At 39.4% G+C, this 15256-nt stretch overlaps 2 protein-coding genes, 1 long non-coding RNA gene and 1 pseudogene across 14 annotated transcripts in view, besides 3 other annotated features; 3 read left to right on the forward strand and 1 right to left on the reverse strand.

The window, feature by feature from the left end:
• Nucleotides 1–6431, reverse strand: part of PCSK1 (proprotein convertase subtilisin/kexin type 1) — a 42916-nt gene extending 36485 nt beyond the window's left edge. The window contains exons 1-2 of one of the 2 annotated variants that reach the window (NM_000439.5): nt 6046–6431; nt 2396–2500 (exon numbers count right to left, since the gene is read on the reverse strand). In NM_000439.5, the coding sequence (NP_000430.3) occupies nt 2396–2500; nt 6046–6225 (285 nt within the window). In that variant the 5' untranslated portion in view covers nt 6226–6431. Of the gene's footprint in view, nt 1–2395; nt 2501–5265; nt 5344–6045 lie in introns of those variants that run through there. The other variant, NM_001177875.2, reaches the window with a different exon arrangement.
• The window catches only part of CAST (calpastatin), an 813255-nt gene that overhangs the window by 465389 nt on the left and 332610 nt on the right, over nt 1–15256 (forward strand). The gene's annotated exons all lie outside the window — the stretch shown is intronic.
• LOC101929710 (uncharacterized) overlaps nt 1–15256 on the forward strand; it is a 669085-nt gene that overhangs the window by 464817 nt on the left and 189012 nt on the right. The window lies entirely within an intron of this gene.
• Nucleotides 68–362: a silencer, noted in NCBI's record as "tiled region #7163; HepG2 Repressive non-DNase unmatched - State 24:Quies". NCBI's record gives its function as "represses a minimal TATA promoter and a strong SV40 promoter by Sharpr-MPRA in HepG2 cells {active_cell/tissue: HepG2}" and the evidence as "EXISTENCE:reporter gene assay evidence [ECO:0000049][PMID:27701403]".
• Nucleotides 6457–15256, forward strand: part of LOC102724070 (NADH dehydrogenase [ubiquinone] 1 alpha subcomplex subunit 5-like) — a 61527-nt pseudogene continuing 52727 nt past the window's right edge.
• Nucleotides 7308–7602: a silencer, noted in NCBI's record as "tiled region #11450; HepG2 Repressive DNase matched - State 12:CtcfO, and K562 Repressive non-DNase unmatched - State 10:DNaseD". NCBI's record gives its function as "represses a minimal TATA promoter and a strong SV40 promoter by Sharpr-MPRA in HepG2 and K562 cells {active_cell/tissue: HepG2 | K562}" and the evidence as "EXISTENCE:reporter gene assay evidence [ECO:0000049][PMID:27701403]".
• Nucleotides 7464–7583: a silencer, noted in NCBI's record as "silent region_16191". NCBI's record gives its function as "represses an Ori minimal core promoter by ATAC-STARR-seq in GM12878 lymphoblastoid cells {active_cell/tissue: GM12878}" and the evidence as "EXISTENCE:reporter gene assay evidence [ECO:0000049][PMID:35858748]".

The raw sequence follows: 15256 nt of genomic DNA on the forward strand, positions 1-15256 counted from the left end.
CCGAAAAATAATTTGCAACTGAAGGATAAAACCATCCACTAAGACTGCCCTCAATTTTCAATTAAAAATATACTGCAAACCTATTAAAAATAATGGGAAGAACCTGAAAGCTAGAAATTAGTCACTATGATTTATTTTTAAAGTGCTTGTATTTTCAAGCTTAATTGTTTTGGCTTAAAATACCTCAATGCTTGGAATGCTGCCTATCATCTGAGTTGATCTCTGGAAGCTGACTGCTAGGGAATAAGTACTAATCTTTGAGGTAGAGGGTCACTTACACTTGGAGATTTTATTAACAGACTTGTAAAGATAGACTGTTGCTGCATTTCACAGGGCTGATTTGAAAGAATATTATCCTCCATCAAAAAAGAGCAATAAAATGAAAACCAAGAGCAATTTTTTGGAAATGGGATATAAGAGGAGGCACTCTGCCGTCTGATCAGATAAACATCCAATTGTAGAAAACAGTGTTATGATTAATGTCATTAACTCAGAATCATGTATTAATCTCTAGAAGAGCAGGCTGAATGGTATAGAGGAAAATTGGTAGTGTCTTTCTATTATGCATTATAGGTATCATGTACTTAATTATAAATAATACTTTTGATCTGGAAAGAGCATTGAAGATCATCTAATTCAACCTTCCAATGCAAGTTTCTATGGTTCCAGAATGTTTCCTAAAATAAAATTATTCTTGGGCTAATTTTTTACAAAGTTATACCTGTGCTGGAGAAGGAATTCTTAGCATTTTTTCATAATGTCTTGAGATTCCACCCCTCCCCCACCAAATCAGCTATCAAGGGGATGTATAAAGAGTAGAATGGGCCATCTTCATTGTCATGAGATACTTTGAGTAAGAATAACAGTTAGGTATGCTCTATTCTGTCCAATTTTCTCCTATGAAAGTGAGAAGGCAGGTCAGTTTGAGTTCTATGTGCATTAATGGGCATGCAGTTTGGGCATGCATTTAGGCAAAGAAGGAAATCTCTCTTCTGCTTAGCCCGGGGACTAAGCCTAGCCAGAGTGCTAGAAGTTATTCTGCTTTTCAGAGCCCACACACGATGAGCCCTCTCCCTTGAAGTGAGTAAGGGAAGACCTCAGTGGACAAGAAACTTCTGTAATAAGGTCCAGGGCCTCTGATTTGGTCTCCCACATCAAGCAATAACTTGACAAAAAAGAGCTAGCAGTGGGTGTAGATGAGCTATACGGTCACTGTCCGTGGTCCTAATACAGCATTGTCAGGATGTTGTTGTTTCTTTTACATTCGAACACTGGTGACCCAGGCCATTCCCATTCCCTACCCTCATAATTTGTCTTTTTCTTCTTCTTTTAAAAATTCTATCAGTTTCAGAATGAATAAAAGGGCAAATTATCTTACAGTCCTCATGAATTTCGTCTACTTTCAACAGTTCTATCACCTTTCTGTCACATACATATATATATATTTTCCCCCTGGGAAGTTGAAAGGATGTTTTTAATCCTCTCACCAAGAGGATCTCTCATTCTAATTCTCCAGGTTGTCCTAGGTAACAAAAATTATGTACACAGATATCAGGCGAATCAGGATAAATTTCTTCCAGTATGGCATTTCTTTGAGAAAAGGCAACACTGTATGAAAATTACAATACTCCCAACATAGTAAACATTTTCTAATATGTTTGTTGACCTTGAAAATAGACTTCAAAATCAATAGGTACATTAGCTATCTATTCAAACTGCCTCTACCTTATTTACCTATATTTATTTCTGCTGTAACCTAATCATTGAACCAAGATACAAACTAGGATGAAAAGAGATCAGATGGTTTGGATCCAACAATAGATTACTTATGGAAACATTTGCCTCATGAAGACATGGATTTACAGTTCTCTCATAAACACTAGCTCCTTATACAGCAAAACCAAATAGAAATAATAGACTTTTTTTTCAGTTATACTGAAATGTTATTGAAAGTAAGGCCCATGTATTTCTTTGAGCCCACATTGGTATTAAAGTGTTTGGTACATAATAGGTACCTAATAAAAGGTTGTTGATTGACTGTATTGTCAAACATTTTTATTAGTGCTGCCCTCTCATTTTAAATATTCACTTTCATGCTCTTAGACTGAATTTGTGAGTGTACATATAAAATTAACTTTAGATATATATGTAATTATATAATTAAACTGCGTATATATGTGTAAAATTAACTTTGGCTCAACCAATTCAACCCAATCTTGTTATTATTATGTGCCATTATAATTTTATGGAAAGAAATTAGAAATAATACAGATAAACAATCTTGGTCACAATAAAAAAAAAACCACATTTGCAAAATGCTTCTGTTTTTATTAGAAATCATAAAGAAAGCAGATAAGCTAGAGTATTGGTTTGAAGACAAATGTACAACACTTACACGATCATCATCAGATAATCTCTTAGTGATATGAAAGGCACTCCTTCGAGACCTTCTGGGGTGGTTTTTATGTTTGAATAAGTAGTGATTTTCAAGTGAACCAATCTATAAAAGGAAAGAAATAAAATAAATATCCACGTTCCCAAACAAGTATATATGGACTAGTTTAAAACTCAGCTAACTTAGAGATAGGCAACTTTTATTAAGCCCATTCCTGGTATCTGAAATTAATATTTTTTTTCTTTTTTTAAACTTTTAAGTTCAGCAGTACAAGTACAGGTTTGTTACATAGGTAAACTTGTGTCACGGGGTATTTTTGTACAGATTATTTCATCACCCAGGTATTAAGCCCAATACCCATTAGTTATTTTTTTCTGATCCCTTCTCTTCTCCCACCCTCCACCCTCCAAAAGGCCCCAGTATATGTTGTTCCCCTCTATGTATTTACGTGTTCTCATCATTTAGCTCTCACTTGTGAGTGAGAACATGCGGTATTCGGTTTTCTGTTCCTGTGTTAGTTTGCCAACAATAATGGCCTCCAGCTCCATCCACATTCTTCATGAAGAAGGCACTGATAGAGGTCTTAAGATGACCCTCAGAATATTATTGCTTGAGTTCACAGTATATTCATTAGCTCACAGTAGGAGGCTAGTGATGCTTCTATTTTACACACATTGGAGGAAATACATGTTTTTCATGTGTGACAATATCATATTAAAATGCTCATTTAATCAAATATATCTGTTCAAAGAACAATTATTTGTGGTAAGCAGGCAAACACCTGGGATACTATCTATGGTCAGTGCCACTTTCCACTAAAATAAATTATCGTTGTTATAAAATGTAGCCATTGAATTCATAGTGATAAATTGCTATTAGCCACTATTAGTGATCGTTTGATTTTCCACTAATTCAAGGCTTTCAGAAAAGAACATGCTACATTTAGGGCAGTTGTCCCACTTTAGAGGGTTTGTACTTCTCCGGGTATCTATTGACATCTTTGGTTCATTTAGGACTATATTCATTATTCTTTTGAGCTAGTCTCCCTTTACTCAGTACTAAATTTGAGGCTACCAAATCCTCTAGGTAACCCTGCATTTTTAAAATTAAGAAACAAACAGTTGACAACAGTATATTACAGAAGAAACGTGTTCTTTAAATTGGTGATTCTCATCGCCCAGAGAATTTTAAAATAGAGAAGCTTAGGCCCTGCTCCAAGCCTGAATCTCAGTGAATCTTCCTATAAGCTGTGGATGGAACTGGGGAGAGAAATCAGCAGCCGCAGAAAAAGATCACCAGTGCTTAGCTCTGTTTTCTCTGCTGTCAACTGGTTTTTCTTCTTGTCACTACCTTAATCCAAGCTTTATCCTGAGGCAATAAGGTACCCAATATAGTAATGCTAAATTAGTGTAATTTTAGTAATATTAAACAAAAAGAGAAATAAGCAGAACCAGGAACGTGCTATCAGCCTTCTACAAAGAATTATTATTCTAATAAAATAATTTTGTTAAGTTTGTTTTAAAACTTTTGTTAGTAATGCCATCTTAACTAAAAATGGTTAGAGGAAAGATAGTATTGTAAATCATATATAAATATAGATGGTTTTCCCCCACTATTTGTTAATGCTTTTGTGACTATGCTATCCCTTACTCAAAGATCCTCCCAAGAATGATGATGTATTGTTTTTTACTATTAAGATTTATGTTTATTTATTTTGAAAAGCAGTTTTCACATTGAATGGTCTAGGTTTAGATGCATGCCTAGAGCTAACAGGTGGGAAAAAGAAGAGAGATTTAGTTTTTGCTGTCTTCCCCAGTCTCCTCCTACACGGTTACCAGTGCTATTTAGCCTTTCAGTAGCTGCTCAAGGAATACACAATTAAATCCCCAGTGTCCACCCCCATAGGTCATACATGATTTGTATGATGTCCACAGTACCCACCAGCACAATTTCCTCTGCTACTCATACCCTCTTTGGGTCTCAAAAATTCCTAATAATTGCGTGCAATTCCCAGACTTACTACTAAACTGTATTATGTCTCACTGTTTTCCCACAAGCTGTTTTCTATGCCTAGACTGTCTTCTCCGATCTCATTATGTGCTCCTGGCAACCTTTGACTTCTGTTCCCGGAGCAAATGTTTTCTCCTTTGGGCAGTTTTCATTCACCCCTCCCGAATTCCCTACTACTTTCATTCCTTCAACCAATGAATATTGAGACTTCAAGTACAACTTCTATGATTACACAAATTACAATCAGTTGCAATCATTTATCTCTAAGCTAGTCTCCTCTAGATTCTTGATTACTTGAGAGCGTTTCTTTCCCTCCTCTTATTCCTCAGCCCCTAACACGGAGCCTGGCACGAGGGCAAGGGCTGGCCAAAAGCAAAAGACTCATCTGCTGCTGGGACACCAGGAAGCCAATCTGCATTGATTTTCCTTTCGGGCATTTCAAAGACAATTTGGTTTATAAAGTTGAGAATGAAGCCTCTAGCAAGAGCAGGCGAATTCCCCAGAGGGTTCGGTCTACAGAATCGCCAACGCCCCCGCCGATTACTCATCCGTGACTCCAGCGGCGTCTCAACCACCACCTCCAGAAAAAACGCGCCAAAATGTTTTACAACTGCCTCCTCCCACGCTTCAATGCAGACCAACTTCCCAAGCAGGGGGCGAGGGCTTGATTCCGAGCCAAGGAAAGGAAAGCTCTAGACTAGAAGTCACACTCCCTAGGGTCCCCTCGGAATCGCTCAGCTATAAGCAGTCTCCCACTTAATGTCTTGACGCCCACCCACCTCCAACCAGCTACCTATCGACCAAGCCTTCACTTGGACAGGCAACAATAAGCTGAAATTCCCGGGAAAACGATTACGTACTTGGCTGAAGAACAAGAAAGAAATAGATCCCTTCCCCATAGTCAGTTCGGCATCTCGACCCTGCAGTGGGACTGGCCGGGCAAAGTTATGAAGCTTGGACTTTATAAGTTCCCAGTGAAAAGCCGGAGCTCCCTAGAGAGTCGCGGGGATAGATGGTCCCGTGTCTTTCACCCACCATTTCTCCCCCCAGCTTCCCAGGCTACTCCGCGGCCTCCCAACCTCCTGGTCGCGAGTCCCAGCAGCTGGCACTCTTCCAATGCCCTGGGCGTGCCCTTACAGGCTGCCAGGGCGGACAGCCCCAAGCCTGCTTAGCCCCTTGCATCAGGACTTGGATCTGATGCTGCCATATTGAAAAGAAGGCAACAGCCGGCTCCTGACGCAGACCGCCTCAGTCCCGGGGGATGGAGCGCACTGCTTCTCCCGGGGGCGCTTGGTTGGTAAGAGCTTGAGTGTATCTCAAGTTCCCTGAACAAGCGTGGAGGGATTTTTCTTCCAAACCGCGCGGGAACGGATTTCAATTCTAGAGCGGCCAACAGTAAGCATAAGCCCTACCCAGCTGCAGCGGCTTCCTTCTGCTTGGCTGCGCCCAGCCTAAACAGTAAATAATGCAAGCTTTCTCTCTCTCCAAGCGCGACAGGGGCGAGGGCTGGAGCAGCTCCTTGCTCTTTGCTACTCTGGGCTCTGGAGAGTGCAACCTGGGGCTCCCACTTGGAAGACCGCGCTCCAGTCCCGCCAGTCCCCTGGGGCCCCAGAAAGTTTCTTGAAAGTGGAAACTCTTACCTGACCCAAAAGGTCATAGCCCAGCTCCTCGGCGATGGCCGAGGCTGCTTCCGGGCCCCCGGGGATCTCCGCTGCCCATTCATTGACAAATTGCCTTTTCGCTTTTGCACTGTTCAGTGCACACCAAGCGCAAAAGAGGACGAAAGCAGTGCACTGCAGACTCCAGGCTCTTCGCTCCATAGCTCACACACTCGCTTGAACAAGAGTGGGAAGGGAAGAGGAAAAAGAAGCAAGATAGGAGAAAAGCCAGACAGACTCCCCCTTCCCACCCTCGGGCTCTAGACCACTCCTGGCTCCTGGTTGCTCTGCGAAGAGCTAGGAGGCGCGAGAGGAGAGGCTGGGCGGCGGCGAGCGCTCAGTGAAGCGCTTCGGTCTCCAGGCTGAGTGGAGCCCCAGCCCTTCCCAGCCAGAATGGAAATGAGTGTTTACACGTCAAATCGACGAAAGCCATCTCTTGACGTCAGATCTACCTGGACTAAGATCCGAATGGTATTCCCGGCGGGGCGGAGAAGCGGCTAAAATAAGCAGCCAGGGATTAGGAAAAGGAAGGAACTGTTTGCTGGGATCAGTTAAGTCTGCTCCTTGTCTGCCCATAAATTCTGTACCGTGAGAAACATTTTCACTTTTCAAAGAGAAGTGCCCCACTTGAACATAACTACCAAGAATCAAAGGCTGGGAGTGCTTTCCCTCCCTTCCATCCATTTTCTCTGTATTTACTTTATTATCTCATGTGTGTGGCGGGGAGGGGGGGAGGCTATAGGATTCTTATAATGGCCCTTTGGGCATCAGCACCTGCTATGAAGAACAAGGCTCTTAGGTCTTTCAAAGAGAGAGGCTAGGAGAGTAAGGAGAAGAAGGGAAGCTACTACTGTCCCAATTCTGTTCTAAATTGTCTGAGAAAATTAGCATGTCTATGTTAAAGCAATACTATTAAAAATGAATTTTTAACCATTCAAGCCACCTTAGTTTACAAGTTTACTTCCCTCCTCCCCTTTGTTTCTCAACCTCAGTAAAACAATATCAGTAGTTATACTCCGATATTGCAAAGCCAGCGCCACCACCACCTTTTAGGGTGTTTATCAGTAAAATGATTAATCATGTGATTTTAAAAAAACATATTTTTAAGAATTCGTCAACAAGGGGATCTAGGATCCCAAAAGCTGTTGTGTTGATTCAGGGAGGGAAAGAGCAGTTTTTATTTACCTCGACTTTCCATTGTGCCTCAGTAGAGCTCTTCACTTTGGTGCTGAGCTGGAGCTGTGCCATTACTTTCCCATAAAATGCACAATGCCTCTTTGTGGAAAAATGGTTTCCTGTGGGAGGAGAGCAAGGAAACATCTAAATGAATTCTCCACCCCTCACCCTAGGGAAGTGAGTTCAGTCTCCCATGGTGGAGCCTATTCGAACCCTGAGGGATTGAACCTGGCGGGAGATACCAGTGCCTAGTATTCAGCACCGAGGTCTGGACAGCGACACACGCAGGACTGCCGCAGGAGCTGCTCTCTCTTCTGAGCACCAAAGACCTCCACCCTTCTGCAGCTGGCCAGCACCAAGCTGTTTTCCTTTTGATATGTGCATTTCCCTCTTTTGAACAGCAAAATAGGAAATTGGCCGCAGGGGGGAGTGTGGTTAGGTTCATGATCGTGACAACTTGTGTCCAGCTCTTGGGAACGTGTTGGACTCAGGCCAAAAGTAAAATCGCCGGGAGGTGGAATTGAGAGAGTATGCTGCACCTGGGAAGTTTGTTTTTTTTTTTGTTGTTGTTGTTGTTGTTTTTTAAAGCTCAACCGCCCGAGGGCGCGATCTATGCTGTAGAAATAGAAGAAAGGGGAGAAGGTTGGAAAGAAAGCATATAAACAAGTGGAGAAAGGAAGCAAGAGATGTTCCTTACAAGAAGCAAATGAGACAAGACTTGGTGGAGGATCAGGCTCTGTAGTGCTAATTTTTCATTTGCCTCCACGTTTGCAGAAATGTGCACTACATAATTTCTTTAAACATAAAGCATCTTTACAAAATCAAATGCCAATGTTAATAAGCCATGTGACATGGTTAAGTGTTTTACAATAATGTAACTCACATGAGATGAAATGGAATGGGCTCCGATTGATAGCTTTGTTGTCTGTTCTGTAAATCCACATGTGTGAATGTTGATGGCTGGGTAAGCTGTCTTCTTTTCCCTTCACACCTCGGCCTGAGTTGTGGCCTCAAGCTCTCAAGGGTGTTTCATTCTCACAGCAGACAGACACTAACTGTGCACTAGCAAGGCAAGAGAAGCCCAGGGCAAATGTTTTATAACGGTAGATGTGTCAGAGGAGGAACATATTTGTCCCTTTCTTATTATTGTTCAAGTAAATCAGTTTGGCAGAGTGTTGGCAATAGGGTCCGTGTCTCTCTCATTAATGAGGCATTTGTCTTAAATGGAGCACCATAGAAGCCTGGAATAAACATTTGGTTTATATACCTAACAGGGCCAAGTAAACTCTCACAAAAAGAAGATAATATCCTCATCCACACAATACAGATATCAGTAAGTTAATCTGCTATTGTCTGATTTTTATCCTATGAACCTCTTTGCCAGAACTTCTGGCATGCAGAAGAAATAAATTTCTGCCAAGACTAGAGGTGCAAGTAGATTTAGAATCCATTTTAACTTTTTGTTTCAAGGGCTAGTCCTACCCTGATTTGTAGATCATGGTAGTGACCTCCAGGCCCATCAGTGTTATATTTCGTATTATAAATTGGAAGAGCCAATTATCACCCTTAAGTTGGTTTTAATAGCATTTGATTCATGTGATTAATTTATATAGAAAACCGGATACTCCAGAAATTAAGAGGACGTGTTTCCATTATAAGTTATCAAGTGATTGCCATGCCTTTCATGATGCTCACAACTGCCCAGTGATACAGCTAAGCATTCATTAAGGTTTCTTGGAGAGTAAAAGAAGCTATTAAGAGCAGGAAGTAAGAATATGCTCAAAGGAGATCTATAGATCACCATATCTCTTTAGTCTTAGGAAACAAATGTTTTAAACATTTTGTTACTACGAAATAAAACATATACCCTTGGGCATACTAAACAATGTACCCAATATTTATCACAAAGTGGACACAGTGTAACCATTTGGGCCAAGAAAAACATTTCTAGACCCACAGAATAACAGAATAATATTCCTAGATCTTCAAGAGATGTTAAAGAATGGGTAAGGAAATAATGTAGGTTTAACATTTTCCAGTTATCATGTAGACTTGCCTGTTTGCTATGGGTAACATTAACTGCACATTAACTCAAAGGTGTAACAAATTAGTCTGTAATTAAACTAGAAGATTTTTGGTAGCAGAACACATTATAGGGGCAAACCTACCTATAGCAGTGTTTTCCAACATAGAAAATAACAATATTTGTGTGGCACACTGGGGTAAACTGGAGGAAATTTGAAGACATCTGTATGGAGCTGGGTGAAGAGATTCATAACATTTTCTTTACATGATACAATTATGATAACAAAATAAAATATAACATTTTGGGCAATACATTAAATTGCATATTAATAACTTTAAATTGAGAAATCTGAATATGCTTTCACCAATATAAGTTTTTATCTGAAGTTTTATGCTTAAAAAGGCTATATATCATTTCTAATTAAAACATTTTAATGACAAATGATCTTTTTATATTCTTAATAGCTGCTGTCAATGAAACTTTTTTGCAAAATTCTATTTTAAATAATATAGCCGTCTTTATTTTCTTGACATATTTATCATTGGAGTTCTATATGAAAATGCCTATAGATTCAGAATCCATCTAAATTTTACAGGTCAAGTATGACAAAATAATATTGAAATTGTAAATTGGAAAATACACACACCTTTTAGAGAAGTTACCATCTACCAACTTTACCACAAATTGAGAAAAGTATCTAGTATACACAAAGACTGATATTGGGGTTACCACTTAAAGATACACCTGCCAGAAGTCCCTGAATTACTTTCTCATGATATCTCCTCCCGTGACCAAATTTTGGTGGGTGTGCTATGCTAATTAAGTACTTAGAGTATGAACTCCTCCAGCAGATCCACAGACACTTTTCACATGATGGAAATAGACATGCTTGCAGCAGGTTGCTGAAGTAAATACAGCATCAAGGTGGTGGACACGACTTGGTTGAGTTCCAAGAGCTCAGCAACAAGCTACTCACCTGGCCTTCCCAAGTGATTAGAAGACCAAATATCTTGAGGGACATCTTTAATTCTACTGGTTGGGATGCTCTGACCTATAGAAATGGAAGTAAAAGAGTAAAAAAGCAAAGTCTATACACTGCAAAGGCTTTGAGGTGGATGAATAATTATGAAGGATTTTTGCTGAATGAACTAGATAAACACAAAATCTTGAATTTAATGTAGAATTGAATTGAATTATTAAAATGGAAGCAGTGAGTGCCATAAATTCCACTTGCTAGAAATAATTGATCTTTTCTAATGAAAATGGATAATTAAATGTGGCCATATACAAGTATTTAGGTTCTTTCTTTAACAGGTTCTTTTAAAATATGCATTTACTGAGTGAGTTGCAGAGCATCCCTGCTTCTGCTTGCAGGCAATGCTCTTGCTTCCTCTGTGCTCTCAAACATTGCCATTTTCGTATTAAACTCTCAGTGCATAACTGCTGTCTCTGCTCCTGAAGTATGTCTTTCTATGAGAATTATAGACTTTAGTATTGAAAAGTGACCTTGAATATTATACAGCTCCTTGCTTCTCAAAGTCTTGTCCACATACCAGCATTATAGGCATCACTTGGAAGCTTGTTAGAAATGCAGACCCTCAGCCCCCACCCCAGAACTACTGAATCAGAATCTGCATTGTTAATGAGTCCGTAGTGATTCATACGCAATTAAAGTTTGAGACGCACTGATCTACTTAACATGCCTGGTATACATGACACTCCTCTGTGATATTTTTTAACAAGTTGTTAGGCAATTCCTGGTCTCCCAAAGCAACCCATTCTTTGGTTTGGATTGGCTGAAATGGTTACAAAGTCCTTCCTTATAATGATATTATAAAACCTTTCCTCATTACTACCTCCAGTCAAGCATGCTAATTTTGCCCTCTAGTACCACACTGACAAGTCTCAATCTCTTTTATACATGATAGCAATTCATACTTCGAAGGCAGATTGTTATATCTTGCCTAACTTTTTTCTGCTCTAGGTTAAACATCCCCAACCTTTTTAACACTTTGGCATTCTGCTTGCTCTTGTCCGGATAGGGTCTTTCAATAGAATTTTTTAAATGTGGCACCCAGAATAGAATATAGTATAGTTGGCCAACTAAAAAAAGATAATTTATTTTTCCAACTTTTTATTTTGAAATAACTTTATAGTTACAGAAAATTAAGAAAAAACAGTACACAAAACTTGTGTATACCGTTCATGCAGCTTTCCCTGGGGTTTACATCTGGTGTAACCATATTACTATTAGCTAAACCAAAACATTAACATTGATACAATATTCTTAACTCATTTATAGACCTTTATATTTTTCCAACTGTTCTATTAGTATATCTTCTTTTATGGTCCAGTATTCAATTAAGACTCCCTATTGCATTTGGTTATTATGTCTCCTCCAAACTGGGATATTTTATCTTTGTCTCTCACAACCTTAAAACTTTTGAGGAGTACTATTCAGTTATTTTATATTATGGTCCTTAATTTTGGTTTGTCTGGTGTTTTCTAATGATTAGGCTGGGATTAAACATTTGTAGGAATAAGTGATGTTATGTCATTTTCATTGACTTGTATCAGGAGGTACATGGTGTCCATATGTCTAATTACTAGTGATGTTATCTCTGATCACTTGGTTAAGATGGTATCATATCAACCAGATTTCTCCACTGTAAAGTTACTATTTGAAAAATAATATTTCGGTGTAAAAATTATTGACAAACTCATGATGCAGAGAGCCATAATGTAGTAATACTCTCCAAATTTATATTTTTGGAGAAAATGAAAATAATTTTACTTTCATAGACATTTATGTTTGTGATATTCATAACTTCTCATTCCACATGTCAGGAGATTTTTCTGTGAGATTAAGTGAAATAATCCATTTAAGATACTTAGCAGAAGGGTGAGGACAGAGAAATCGCTTAGTTTGCTACTATTATTAATGCTATTAACCTATCACTTTCCACTTAATATACTGATATATTTCCATGTCAATAACTGTTCACTGGCATAATTTATAATGGTTGCATAGCTTTCCATTAAATGTGTTAAGTATACTTCAACTTATCAAGTAACGGAAGACACTTAGAGTGTATCTATTTGTTTGGCTACTATACTTTCAGGTAAAGTTGGTTGATTAAATATATGTGTCTCCTTTCATGCCCCACTAAAACCCCTCAAAAACTACAAAGAAGGGATTTTTTTAAGGACATAAACTTATGAAATGGGGAGAACAGGAGTAGAAGCAATCACAAAAAATTATGAAAGCAAAAAAGCAACTAATTTAGCAGACCCAAGAAAATGAAATGTTAATCCAGCAGCAGGGAAAGCCAAGAACTAACCCTTTCTATGCCTCAGAATTCCCCATGACTGAGGAATTGGCAGGCACCAAATAACTTGACATTAGGATGCAAATAGGTTGGAAAATAAAAAAAGATTGCTTTAAAGTCTGTTTCAAAAGCAATCTTCCCCAGCTTCCCTCATCACTCTTTATTGCAGAAAACTATCCCTTTGTCACCCAGCAAAGAGACTGAGGGTGTTTTCCCCAGAGACATCAGGCACAGTTAAAGGTGGAGGCTTCACACCCCCGAACCAACTGTAAGAAATTGGTCACCTCGGGGTTGCTTTCTAGCAGGTGCCACTGAGGGATAAATAATAATGGACTGATCCTAACTTCCCCTTTGTTTCTCACCTCCCTCCAGTGAACACAGGGATTAATCTGCTTGTTGTTTAAAATAATATAATCCTTGAAGCTGTTGTAAACAAGTAGAGGAAAGAAGACCTTCAACAATTGTCCCTAATTATGGTTAGAAGAGGGACCAATCCTGATCCCAGTTATGACAGGCAAAAAAATTGTACAATCAGTAAAACTGAAAGAGAAAACAAAGGTACTAAAGCAGAAGTGGCCCACGGCACATTACTTTAAAAGTTCTAAGTAAGCTTCTGATACTGAAACTCAGGAAATAGCTAACAAAAATCTGGTTTTCTGGCTTCTCTTTATAAACTAGAAAATGTTAGTCTGGAAACAGTGACCCCTACAGTTCTCAGACACTGAGACAAAGTATGAATTTCTGCAATTATGTTTATCCCACCTTTTTTTTTTTTTTTCTTATAATGGAGTTCAGAAATCCTTAACTCTATAAGGGGAAAATAGCAGAGAGAATTGAGGGTTTGGAGCTTCTCTCTTATGCCTGCCTTATTCCACTCAGTTATGGTATCTGCATGTCTCCTGTGAGCATCCGTGTCTCTAGCTCTTTCCTTGGACCCTGCTGTAGACTTGTACCTCTACTGTTCAGACCTACCCACGCTGCAGCTGTAGCTGTTTACTCACAGCAAGAGAGAGAGGCTAAGACCAGCAAGCCCAGTGGGTGCCCCAACTCAAGCAAACATGTATTGGCCAGGTCTGAGTTGTTACATGCCAAGGAGAGGAGCAGGTAGCAAAAGTTTTTTCTAAGCCCATGGACTTGGGAAAGTGATGGACTTGTGGGTGGGGGAGGTGGGTAGGATAAATGGCAGCAGGGTGAGGGGGTCCGTTTAAGGCTACTCAAGTTCTTCTGACTCTCCAGTCAGAATTACTCAATCATTTAGGGTAGGGCCATACATACACATGGGGGAAATGTCAGGGTTTGGCGTTAAGAAAGCTAGGAAAGAAATAGGTATGGGAAAGTATTTCATGGGTGCAATGGTTGATGATCCAGCATCTACTTTCCTAGTGCTCTACAGCTGGAAAAGGCAGAGGCAATGGCTTTAATTTTATTTGCAAAGCTAGTTAAGAGTCGATGGAAGAACTGACACTATTTGATAAACTGTGCCCAAACTCTAGATGAACACTATTTCAAAGAGCATTAAGCACAGATATAAGAGCAGACTCAAAACAGACCACCTGGATTTGATTCTCAGCTCTGCCACTTATTAGCTGGGAACATCCAGACACATTTTGAACATGTCTTTGCTTTGGTTTCCTCATTTACGGAATGAGGGTATAATAGTAATTTACCTGTTGAAGTTATTATACATAACATACTTACAACATTGTCTGGTACAAGTAAATGATAGTTATTTTTATTGAGAAAATAGCACCCTAGTTACATAATAGTTTCTTACACAAGTTTGTCAAATTCTGGAGTAGGGAGGCATCTTGGACAGAGAGATGATTTCAAAGTGTAAAACTGACTAGCTCTGGCACTCAATTCTCACCTCTCTTTCTCCCTTTTTTCCTACTCACTAATTTTTAGTGTGTTCCCCTTCCTCTTTTTTTTCTTTCTCTCATAATTCTATACATTCCCAATTGACTTTTCCCATAAGCCCGTTGAGAGAGCCAGAGCAAGTTTTATTAACTCCAATTCACTAAAATGCAGGCAAGTGAAGTAGTTTATCCACGGCTCACAGGGTGAACTTCACACATCTGCCTTGAGAACCTGATCCTTCCTCTTGGAGCAATTTGCTTCTGATTTCTTGGTGGAGAATCAGTAGCGATGGGTTTAAGGGCTCTGGGAAGACTAGAAAGTTGCCCTCTCTAAACACATTTATTGAAAGTGGCACCTTAGAAAAAAAGGGACTATGTAAACTCAATATTATTAAGTATGATGGAAAAGTATAAAGTATGTAGAAAGCAGGCATTAGTACGTTTGACATTCAACATCAGTAGAGGTCAGATCATGAGGCACACAGAGAAAATAGTCAAAAGGGGCACTTTTTTATAATGTGATTGCTACTCCACCTTGCCCACCTCCTGGTATTAGAAACAGCCTTTCTGTGATTATGCGTATGGGTGATTGAGTAGTAACACAATGACTTCATTTCCATTTCCCAGCTTCCTGTGGGAAGGTTTGGATCCAGCCTGCAAGAGCCATGATTGTAGGAGTATAATGATAACTGATGTTTATACAGTACTTTACAATTTTCACAAGGATTTCCATCTATTGGCTTCTCACTACACCATTATTACCATTCCCACTTCACAGGCAAGTAAACTGAGTCACAGGTAAGCAA

The sequence above is a fragment of the Homo sapiens genome, chromosome 5 (assembly GCF_000001405.40).
Source record: "Homo sapiens chromosome 5, GRCh38.p14 Primary Assembly".
NCBI lineage: Eukaryota > Metazoa > Chordata > Mammalia > Primates > Hominidae > Homo > Homo sapiens.